At 38.7% G+C, this 12657-nt stretch overlaps 2 pseudogenes; both read right to left on the reverse strand.

Moving 5' to 3' along the window:
* RNU6-1094P (RNA, U6 small nuclear 1094, pseudogene) lies at window positions 2710-2807 on the reverse strand (annotated as a pseudogene).
* On the reverse strand, window positions 11076-12113 carry MTRNR2L12 (MT-RNR2 like 12 (pseudogene); annotated as a pseudogene).

Consider the following 12657-nt stretch of genomic DNA (forward strand, 5'->3'; position numbering starts at 1 on the left):
CTTTCTTCCAGTTGATCAAATCAGCTACTGAAGCTTGTGCATTCGTCACATAGTTCTCATGCCTTGGTTTTCAGCTCCATCAGGTCATTTAAGGACTTCTCTACATTGGTTATCCTAGTTTGCCATTCGTTTAATCTTTTTTTAAGGTTTTTAACTTCTTTGCGATGGGTTTGAACTTCCTTCTTTAGCTCGGAGAAGTTTGGTCGTCTGAAGCCTTCTTCTCTCAACTCATCAAAGTCATTCTCCGTCCAGCTTTGTTCCATTGCTGGTAAGGAGCTGTGTTCCTTTGGAGGAGGAGAGGTGCTCTGATTTTAGAATTTTCAGTTTTTCTGCTCTGTTTTTTTCCCCATCTTTGTGGTTTTATCTACCTTTGGTCTTTGATGATGGCAACGTACAGATGGGGTTTTGGTGATGATGTCCTTTATGTTTGCTAGTTTTCCTTCTAACAGTCAGGACCCTCAGCTGCAGATCTGTTGGAGTTTGCTGGAGGTCCACTCCAGACCCTCTTTGCCTGGGTATCAGCAGCAGAGGCTGCAGAACAGTGAATATTGCTAAACAGCAAATGTTGCTGCCTGATCATTCCTCTGGAAGTTTCACCTCAGAGGGGTCCCTGGCCGTGTGAGGTGTCAGAGTGCCCCTACTGGGGGGTGCCTCCCAGCTAGGCTACTCGGGGGTCAGGGACCCACTTGAGGCAGTCTGTCCATTCTCAGATCTCAAACTTTGTGCTGGGAGAACCACTACTCTCTTTAAAGCTGTCAGACAGGGACATTTAAGTCTGAAGAGGTTTCTGCTGCCTTTTATTCAGTTATTCCCTGCCCCCAGAGGTGGAGTCTACAGAGGCAGGCAGGCATGCCTCCTTGAGCTGCGGTGGGCTCCACCCAGTTCAAGCTTCCAGGCCACTTTGCTTACCTACTCAAGCCTCAGCAATGGTGGGCGCCCCTCCCCCAGCCTCGCTGCATCCTTGCAGTTCGAACTTGGACTGCTGTGCTAGCAATGAGTGAGGCTCTGTGGGCATGGGACCCTCCAAGCCAGGAGCGGGATATAATCTCCTGTTGTGCCGCTTGCTAAGACCATTGGAAAAGCACAGTATTAGGGTGGGAGTGACCCAATTTTCCAGGTGCCCTCTGTCACAGCTTTGCTTGGCTAGGAAAGGGAATTCCCTGACCCTTTGCGCTTCCTGGGTGAGGTGATGCCTCACCCTGCTTCAGCCCATGCTCACTGTGCTGCACCCACTGTCCTGCACCCACTGTCTGATAAGCCCCAGTGAGATGAACCCGGTACCTCAGTTGGAAATGCAGATATCACCCGTCTTCTGTGTCACTCATGCTGGGAGCTGTAGACTGGAGCTATTCCTATTTGGCCATCTTGGAACCTCCCTTTATTATATTTTTATTTTTTTTTCTGAATTATTAATTTATAGCTTGATCACTTCTAAAAATTCTGGATTGTATATTTTCTCATAAAGGTATTTTGCTTTTGTCTTATTTAATTCAAAATTTGTACAAATGAGAAACTGTCTAAATTTTAACTTCTGTCTACTTGTTTTTTGTTTTAATAATTTCATTGAATGGTACTTTTTCTCTGCTTTTCTTTCTCAATAATATTTGTCAAAAATTTGTCTGTGCTATATTTTCCCAGATCTTTTTTAAACATTTCCCACCAGGGTAGTATATTTGTTACAATTGATGAGCCTACATTGACACATCATAATCACCCAAAGTTCATAGTATACATAAGGGTTAATTCTTAATGTTGCCTATTTTTGGGTTTGAAACAAGTTATGATGACATGTACCCAAAATTATAGTTATCATATAGAGTAGTTTCACTGTCCTAAAAATCATCTGTGCTCTCCCTATTACCCCTCACTCCCCACTAAACTCTGACAACCACTAAGCTTTTTACTGTCTCCATGGTTTTGCCTTTTCCAGAATGTCATGTAGCTGGCATTACACAGTATGGAGCTGTCTCAGATTGGCTTCTTTCATCTAGTAATGGACATTTAAGTTTCCCTCATGTCTTTTCATGGCTTGATAGCTCATATTTTTTAACATTTAATAATATTTCTTTGTCACTGGATGACAAGGATGTGCCACAGTTTATCCATTCACCTACTGAAGGACATGTTGGTTGCTTCCAAGTTTTGATAATCTTTAGTAAAGCTGTTACAAACATCAACATTTTTGTGTGGATGTATATTTTCAACTACTTTGGGTAAACAGCAAGGTGCAAGATTGCTAGATCATATGCTAGGAGTATGTTTAATTTCATGCTTTATTGATTATTTGTTTATATTTATATTTTCTTAACTATTTGAAAATATTATAATCCTTTCAATTGATACTAATTAAAAATAGTTCATATTGCTAAAATTTATGGAAATTTACAGTAAAGTTAATAAATAAGCAGATCTTTTTAAAAAACAAGATGCAGTGCTATTTCTCCAATAGCTGATAAGTAACCATGGCAGGTTTCCAAACATCTATTAGATTTTCCAAGAAAATAAGTTACCATAGCAACTCTAAAAGCATATTATATGGTTTTAGACCATTACTACTCACTGATATTTCTTCAAATATGAATAGAAGTGTAAATATATCAACTCATAAACACATTGATTCATAATAAATTAGTTTGCAGCATTTGCAACATTGCTGCATTTTAAAATAAATATCATACAACGATCCAAATACTTTCATTTATTTTTTTAATGGAACACTTCACGAATTTGCATGTCATCCTTGCACAGGGGCCATGCTAATCTCTGTATTATTCCAATTTTAGTATATGTGCTGCCGAAGCGAGCACTGATCAAAAATACTTTTGATCATTTCAACTGCAGGAACAAGTATCTAGAAAGCTAGCTGTGCAATGGATCTCAGAGCCCTAACACTATATAACTCCACTGATCATACTATTTCCATGTCAGATATTGAAAGAAGTTCTGGAAGGCCAAGAAAGAGATCAAATGGGATCTCCTTAATAAGTATATGAGAACACTGGACTCAGTTCCCACCTCTCAATCATTAATGGAAAAGAAGAGTTGCAACAAGTACAGATGCAGGCAAAGAAGCAAACCCAATACCTTAATTCTAAGCATACTTTTCCTTAATAAAGAGGAGTTGAAAGATGGGTGGCTTAGAATCCTCATGTCTAGACTTAGTGATTTCAAAATTATCCTGGAAATCTCTTAGCTGAACAAAAGGCCTTCAGGAGGTTTAAAATTGCATACTGGAACTATTGAGACTGTCTCTCAGCCATTTTTCTTGTTGGCAACAGGCCCCAACCAGTCCACTCTCACATTGTCATCAGGGTTGTTAGCCTGAAAATTTCATCATGCCACTCCCACGTTTCCAAATCACTTATACTTGCCCACTGTCTACATCATGATGTCTGTACTGCTCTTACCATGGTGAGGAGTCCAGCTTCCAGTGAAAAACTTTGGGTAATTTTCCAGATCCAGTCTGGTGATTATAAACCCTTCACCTGGGAGGCTTAGGAAAAAGCTGCCTTCCCCACCGCAGATGCGGTGAACAGTCACAGCACTGCAGTGTCTGAAGGCAGCAGCAGGCAATGACTCTGGCCCCACCTGGCCAGTCAAGCTCTTTGCATCTTTGCATGTACAGCCCCAGTAGGATACCTCCATTCATAGGTCATTTCATCTGAGTCCCCCTGGGCTGAGGTCCCTCTCAGGTACCCCTGCCAAATGTTCCTTGGAGCGGTGGCAGGCTGGGTAGGGGAGGTTGGGGAGACTCTCACTCAATGCCCAATACATTTCCATGTTTAGAACTTCTCCCTCATCCTCTCCACTACTTGAAGGTCCGTAAAACTGCGAGACCTTTTGTTTGGGACTCCCTCAGTAGTAAGATGACTCTCACATCTGTTCTGACCTGTGCTCTGTTTTATAGGGCAAAATGCAAGAGAGGGTCCATGCTTTCTCTAATTTTAGCCTTTTGCTTATATCATCATAAAAGAGTAAAGCCTAACTTCTTGCACATTTTTGGCTTCTTGCTTTAATTGGCTATTCAGGCACCTCAGAGCTCAGCTTTCTCACTCCCAGTTTACTGAACTCCTGTCATATGACACTCAGGCCCTGTTAAAGTTTGCAGAAATGTGTCTTCAGGGCCTCTTCTCACCGTAGCTTTCTGAGTAACCCTGTACTTGCATCAGTCTCGACACTCCTCCTTTTATTTACTCAGTGATTTTGAGCAATTCTTTGTCTAGAACGCTCCCTTTCTCCTTGACAATGAATAATAGAAAATAAAATCACTAAAGAACAACATAGACATGATTTCTCTCAAAGATCTTCTCATTTTACTTATGCAGGGTCATTCCTATGTTCCCCAAATCTTTTAAGTTCTTTACCACAGTTTTGTACATACAAAATTACATTGCAATTTTTATGTCTACATTTTTTTTTCTTTTTGATAACAATTGAGCTTGTGGAAATCCAGAACTTTACATCATTTTTATCTACATCCCTCGTCCCTAACCCAGGCCTTAGCTCACAAAAGATGCTTCATAAAAAAGCCTGGATCCCTAGAGAAGATTCTTAGATTTTAGCATAAAAGTAAATTAAATGTTTTGTTTAATAATACGTTAAATAAAAACATTATATAAAGGAGAAACACTTGATTTTGACCATTTAAAACATTTGTGTGAAACATATCTGATATTGAATTTAGTTTTGCTCAAAATCGCTACGTAAAATTATAATTTTAACATTCTTATGAATGTATATAATTAAACAGCTACACAATGAAAAATTCTTCCTCTATACCCTAAAGAATGTCTGTAATGTATATAACACCCAATGGTAAACGAGTAAATGTTTGAGTTTTACACATTAATGTTATGAATATTGCTAAAATAAAGCATGCTATTCATAAGACTTGATCTTTCCATAAAACAATAATACTTTTATTATTTTGTGCATAGAAAAATTAAAATTGTTACTTTTTTCTTAAAAATAAACTTTTAGTTTTATGTAAAACCAAAAATTATGTTAATAGAAATGTAATCAGCTCACTTTACATTTTATTTTTAAATAGGAGAAATATAGACAGGTTTGTTTGTTTGTTTGTTTTGTTTTGTTTTTGAGATGAAGTCTCACTCTGTCAACCAGACTGTAGTGCAGTGGCATGATCTCGGCTCACTGCAAGCTCCACCTCCCAGGTTCACGCCATTCTCCTGCCTCAGCCTCCAGAGTAGCTGGGACTACAGGCGCCCACCACCACACCCGGCTAATTTTTTGTATGTTTAGTAGAGACAGGTTTCACCGTGTTAGCCAGGATGGTTTTGATCTCCTGACCTTGTGATCTACCTGCCTCGGCTTCCCAAAGTGCTGGGATTACAGGTGTGAGCCACCACACCTGGGCAGACTTTTTTTTTTTAATTCTCCCGCAAAGAATGATTGTCATACTCCCTTTATGTCAAACCTTATCCACTTGGTTCTTGGTTCCAAGACCCATAATTTGTTTTCTTTCATTTTAATATTTCCATGAATTCTAAATCTTTACCCTTTGTTTCTGCCTACTTATTCTGCTGTTTGGGTTTTTTTCTTCTTCTTCTTCTTTTGCGCTCAATATACACTCAGTCACTTTCTGGAAAGTCACATGTGGTCATAGAAAGTGATATTTTTATGTAAACATGCTTGTTATTGTAATTGCTTTTTAAGGCAGCCTGATAACAAATTTCCTGTCACAATCTGAAATATATTCTCTTTCACATTTGCCACTGCATGTGACTCCAACATTTATTCCTTCACTTAGGTAATTTTTACTCATCATTCAGTGTGAAGCAAGAATGTTGTTCAAAAAACAAAAACAAAACACTGTTTCAAAAAGTTTCAAGTTTAGGAATTTAAATCAATGTCTGAAAATATTTGCTACAACCATAATAATCAGAATACAAAACAGAAGGACTTCAGCACCCAAGTCACCCCAAGGCCTCACCAAATATTAATCACCTACCAGGTCCCAGCCCCTGAACTAAGTGTTAAGGATCCAGTGGTGAACAGAACCAACAACGGCTCCACAGGTTGACAGAAAAGACTCAGCTGGTGGGATGGCAGATAAAAGGGGAAAGAAATAAGGTGGAGGGAAGGAAATGTTCAAAGTTGTGTAGCTGTGAGAAAGTATGGTGTATATTGAAAACAGGAAGGTCTGGGTTTTGTGTGTGTGTTTCAGTTTGTTTTATGCTGGCTTCTTTTCTGGCAGGGGGGCACTCAGAATAGGGTGGAAACACTGGGTGCTGGGTGAAAAAAAAAATTACTAGAGTATCATTCACTAGACTGTCCTTAAAGAGGTTTCTATAGACTGAAGGGAATAATTTATTTTATTACAGGTAGAGTCTAAGATTTGGATTCCTGTGCAAATTCAGTAAGCAAGGTTAAAGAGGGAAGGGATCAGCAGGCAATATTGGACAGTTAGGGTGTTACAGAAGCACATTTCATAGCTACTATGTGTTTCCCTGGTCCATATCAACTTTAGCAGCAGTATGATAGTCAACAATGACAAGAAAGTGTTAAAAAGTACTTTAAATAATAGAATTAAACAACCAATCTGATTTTTTGCCTGAATGGGTAAAACTGGTATTTTCAAATTGATTTGCAATATTTTGTCCTAGAGTATGTCAGCTCGGTTCAGTGTTTTGTCCATCTGATGATTCATGGTTCATTCTTTCTGTTTTTTTCTTTTTTTCTTTTTCTTTTTTGTTTTTTTTGAGACAAAGACTCACTCTTGTCCCTCAGGCTGGAGTGCAATGGCGTGATCTCGGCTCACTGCAACCTCTGCCTCCCGGGTTCAAGCAATTCTCCTGCCTCAGCTTCCCGAGTAGCTGGGATTACAGGAGCCTGCCACCACACCTGGCTAATTTTTGTATTTTTAGTAGAGAAGGGGTTTCACCATGTTGGCCAGGCTGGTCTCAAACTCCTGACCTCAGGCGATATGCCCGCCTTGCCCTCCCAAAGTGCTAGGATTACAGGCGTGAGTCACCACACCTGGCCAATGGCTCATTCTTTGGATCTTTCAACAAATAAATATTTATTGAGTTCTTTCTATATGACAATTTTTGTTTTCCATGTCTAGTCTACAGCTACCAAAAAAAAACATATTATGCATAAGAAATGAGAAATAAAAATAAAATCCTAAGCTGCCAACTAAATGAATGGGCCCCCTGTTAGCCAAGAGGACCCAGACAAACCTTGCAAACTGAGTTCCCGGCCATGACCAGATGGGAAGCTGGACATGTCTCTTTATACCTCCTCCCCTGCTAACCACCATTAGACTTTATTTTTTCCTAAAGGGTTAGACAGAAACTAACCCTTTGGAAAGACTTCCTCCACCACTGATTTGAACCATCTTTGTGACTGCCCCTCCCTTTTGTAGTTGTGATAAAACAACCAACCAGCATTCCTTCCTGTCAACAGACCACCAAGCACGGAGTGGTTCTGTCCAATGTACAGAGGATGCTCAGTGAGGGTTTTCATGTCCTCAGTTTCACCTTTGGATGTCAAAGGGCAGAAAACTCCACCCTTGAATCATGCTAGCACTGCCGTTTTTTGAAGAAGGACCCTTGGGAAAGCATGAAGATCATCTGCAAATGCACATGTTTCACCTCTCATAAATGTTCATAACTCCTCTTATAGCTTATTAAATATATATGTATGTATGTATGTGTATATATATATATATATTCACCTTCTCTGTTCAGCATAAATTCCTATATTATTCTTCCCACCCTAGAAGTACCTGTTTCTGGCTTCTAGCCTGATGGCCACCCTGCAGGCTGCAACCCTTTCTGAGAAATAAAGCTCTCCTTTCCAAATTTATGAACCTCATCATTCTTCAGTTGACAGGAAGCAAGATACATAAGAAGTATATACTGTACCAGACATTGATGTTTTCTAAGAATAAAAAGTGAACCAGGAAGAGCAATGGAAACTCTACTCAGGTAGAGATGGCCAGGGAAGGCATCACTGATGATACTTTAAAACTTGAAGGAAAAGAGGGAATTGAGATATGTGGATACTGGAGAGAAGCACATCCCAGGCAGCTGAAAGGGCAAAGAGCAAATATCCTATAGTGTGATCATGCTTGGCATGTATGAAGGAACAGTAAGGAGGCCAACCAGAAGGAGGATAGCAGAAGAGGAACAGGGTAGAGAGGAGGGGGCCAATTTTACCCTAAGTGACATGCAAACTCACTGTGGAGTTTTGAACAGGAATGACATTATCTTCCTTGACAGGATTAGTTTAGCAATGGTGTTGCACATAGTCTAAAACAGAACTGGGAGGAAGTAGGAAGAAGTAGGAGGCTATTACAATATGAATACAGGCAAATATCGGGCAAAATTCACCCCTGATAATTCACGTAGTTTCTTTTCTATTTTCCCTAAGTGTCGGCCGGTCTGAGAAATAAAGGGACAGAGTACAAAAGAGAGAAATTTTAAAACTGGGTGTCCAGGGGAGACATCACACATCGGCAGGTTCCGTGATGCCCCTTGAGCCATAAAACGAGCAAGTTTTTATTAGTGATTTTCAAAAGGGGAGGGAGTGTACAAATAGGGTGTGGGTCACAGAGATCACATGCTTCACAAGATGATAAGATATCACAAGGTAGATGGAGGCAGGGTGAGACCACAGGACCACAAGACCAGGGTGAAATTAAAATTGCTAATGAAGTTTTGGGCAGGCATTGTCATTGATAACGTCTTATCAGCAGACAGGGGTTGAGAGCAGACAACCAGTCTGACCAAAATTTATTAGGCAGAAATTTCCTCATCCTAATAAGCCTGGGAGCGCTACTGGAGACCGGGGCTTATTTCATCCCACAGCTGCGACTGTAAAAGACAGCCGCCCCACCAAAGCGGCCATTTTAGAGGCCTCCCCTCAGGGATGCATTCTCTTTCTCAGGGATGTTCCTTGCTGAGAAAAAGAATTCAGCGACATTTCTCCCATTTGCTTTTGATAGAAGAGAAATATGGCTCTGTTCCACCTGGCTCACCGGCAGTCAGAGTTTAAGGTTATCTCTCTTGTTCCCTGAACGTTGCTGTTATCCTGTTCTTTTTTCAAGGTGCCCAGATTTCATATTGTTCAAACATACATGCTCTACAAACAATTTGTGCAGTTAACGCAATCATCACAGGGCCCTGAGGAGACATACATCCTCCTCAGCTTGCGAAGATGATGGGATTAAGAGATTAAAGTAAAGACAGGCATAGGAAATCACAAGGGTATTAATTGGGGAAGTGATAAGTGTCCATGAAATCATCACAATTTATGTTCAGAGATTGCAGTAAAGACAGGAGTAAGAAATTATAAAAGTATTAATTTGGGGAACTAATAAATGTCCATGAAATCTTCACAATTTATGTTCTTCTGCCATGGCTTCAGCCTGTCCCCCTGTTCGGGGTCCCTGACTTCCTGCAACAGGAAAAAAATGATTGTGGTTTAGACTAAAGTTAAAGATGTGAAAATAGTGCGATAGGATTACATTTTATTTTTATAGGTAGCCAACATGAATAATAAAGTCCAAAAATCCACTTGTGCCAACACTGACACATTTCAAGAAATAACCACCACTTCCATGTCCCCTTTCATGAACACATAGTCTACAATATTTACCCGCTCATTCAGAAATTATATAGGAGGAGTTATGCTGCAGTTGGTGAAAAGATGGCAACTCTTCTCTGTTGTTTGTTTCACTACCAAATACAAATGGAAAGTTGACTTATGAAAATATTTGTTTCAGTTCCAAAGTTGTAAGCAAGGAAGTTACCCCAGGATCATAGAAATATCTTTGTGGTAGGTCACAGGCTGTGCAGTGCAGAGACTCTAGGCTCCATCATTCATTAGCTGTATGGCTTTAGGAAAGTTACATAACATGTTCTTTAAGATGGGGGGTGACTATGACCCACAGCGTAGGACTTTATTTTAAAGTTTATTTAAAAGTTTATTTTAAAGTTACTATTATAGCAATGTCTAGCATATGGAAACAGCTTTTAATAGTTAAATGTTAGAAATTTATCTTTCCTGAGGCTAAAGAGAAAAGGACTGTCCCCGTTGTTTAATGCACTATTTTCTTCCAGAATTCAGCCTATATTAGACCTCAGAATGACAGTGCTATCGTTAAAGCAGAAGTTGATGGAGCAAGGGAGGAATATAGGATTAGAAGTCAAATATTGCTTGAACTCAAGGACCTCATTAGACCAAACTATAACACAGAATTCATAAAATTTCCAAAGTATATGAAAATGAGAGTAACTAATAAATAAATGCATTTTAGACTAGTATGCGACACATAATAGATACTCCATAAGTACTTGTACAGTGAATTATATATTTTTCAATTTATGTATTTTATTTTTTACATACCTACCATAGACCATTAGACACTGACTTAAACTCATTCTGCTCTCTTGGATTCTCAAATGATCTACTATAGTTTTTCTTCTCTTAAAAGTTGTAACTATGGAAAATGATTTTATCAAGTTTCAAAAAACTGCTAATTTAATACAGTCTCACTAAGTGTGACTGACATCATACTTCTACTGGGTTTCAAATGAAATATTCTTAATGTGCTTATTGATTCTGAATGAAAAATGAGGTTTTAATATTAGAAAAGTTGAAAATAATATCCGTTATTAGCTGTCAAACACATTTGGTTCATGCTGACTTATTGTTGACTGTATATTGACAATTGTTTAGGACTTAAGTGGAAAAATATTTGTTTAAATTCTGTGTAGTTTGTATTTTTATCTTAACTGTTATGTATTTTTTTTCCATTTCTTAGCAATAAAGCAACATGTTGGTTCTTTGTTTAGAAGATAGAATGCAAATCGAAAAACTATTTGGTACTTGTATGTGTGTATACACACACACATTTAAAATAAAATTATTTGATACTTGTACATGTGTATATAAAATATATTTTTCATGTATATCTATACCTTCCAGTTTGCTAATAGCTCCTTTTAAGGGTGAAATGTATTATTTTAATTATTTTTCTATAATCCTAGCATTCTACTTTTTTGAGAAAAACTTGCTCAGTAACATGTTAGTTGTATGTAGTAACATAGTCTTGCTATGTTATGCCCGCCTCTTCACGGGTAGGTCAATTTCACTGGTTGAAAGTAAGAGACAGCTGAACCCTCGTGGAGCCATTCATACAAGTCCCTATTTAAGGAACAAGTGATTATGCTACCTTTGCACGGTTAGGGTACCGCGGCCGTTAAACATATGTCACCGGGCAGGCGGTGCCTCTAATACTGATAATGCTAGAGGTGATGTTTTTGGTAAACAGGCGGGGTAAGATTTGCCGAGTTCCTTTTACTTTTTTTAACCTTTCCTTGTGGGCATGCCTGTGTTGGGTTAACAGTGAGGGTAATAATGGCTTGTTGGTTGATTGTAGATATTGGGCTGTTAATTGTCAGTTTAATATTTTGGTCTGATGTAGGCTTATGCGGAGGAGAATGTTTTCATGTTACTTATACTAACATTAGTTCTTCTATAAGGTAATAGATTGGTCCAATTGAGTGTAAGGAGCTCAGTTGTATGTTTGGGATTTTTTAGACGATGGGTGTTGAGCTTGAACGCTTTCTTAATTGGTGGCTGCTTTTAGGCCTACTATGGGTATTAAATTTTTTACTCTCTTTACAAGGTTTTTTCCTAGTGTCCAAAGAGCTGTTCCTCTTTGGACTAACAGTTAAATTTACAAGGGGATTTAGAAGGTTCTGTAGGTAAATTTAAAGTTGAACTAAGATTCTATCTTGGACAACCAGCTATCACCAGGCTCGATAGGTTTGTCGCCTCTACCTATAAATCTTCCCACTATTTTGCTACATAGACGGGTGTGCTCTTTTAGCTGTTCTTAGGTAGCTCGTCTGGTTTCGGGGGCCTTAGCTTTGGTTCTCTTTGCAAAGTTATTTCTAGTTAATTCATTATGCAAAAGGTACAGGGGTTAGTCCTTGCTGTATTATGCTTGGTTATAATTTTTCATCTTTCCCTTGCGGTACTATATCTATTGCGCCGGTTTACAATTTCTATCGCCTATACTTTATTTGGGTAAATGGTTTGGTTAAGGTTATTTGATAGTAAGGTGGAACGGGTTTAGGGCTAGGTTTGGCTCAGAGTGGTCAAGTTGAGTTGAAATCTCCTAAGTGTAAGTTGGGTGCTTTATGTTAAGCTACACTCTGGTTCGTCCAAGTGCACTTTCCACTACACTTACCATGTTACGACTTGTTTCCTCTATATAAATGCGTAGGGGTTTTAGTTAAATATCCTTTGAAGTATACTTGAGGAGGGTGACGGGCGGTGTGTATGCGCTTCAGGGCCCTGTTCAACTAAGCACTCTACACTTAGTTTACTGCTAAATCCACCTTCGACCCTTAAATTTCATAAGCTCCCTCATGGGGAGCTAAATTTTTTTAAGTATTTCATAATAATGTCACTAAGGTAATTATTGGTAAACTTAAATGAGATTATATAAATAAGACGCCTTATGTATAAACTGTAAAATCTATATGCTCTTTTATTTTGAATACGAATTTCTTATGCAGTAGTCATTTGGTTTTCAAATGAACATTAAGTAGAATAGAAAAATTATTTTTTCAGTTTACTCTTAGAATTGTGTATTACATGTTTATGTTAGCTGTGTAA

This window comes from Homo sapiens, chromosome 3 (genome assembly GCF_000001405.40).
Source record: "Homo sapiens chromosome 3, GRCh38.p14 Primary Assembly".
Lineage (NCBI taxonomy): Eukaryota > Metazoa > Chordata > Mammalia > Primates > Hominidae > Homo > Homo sapiens.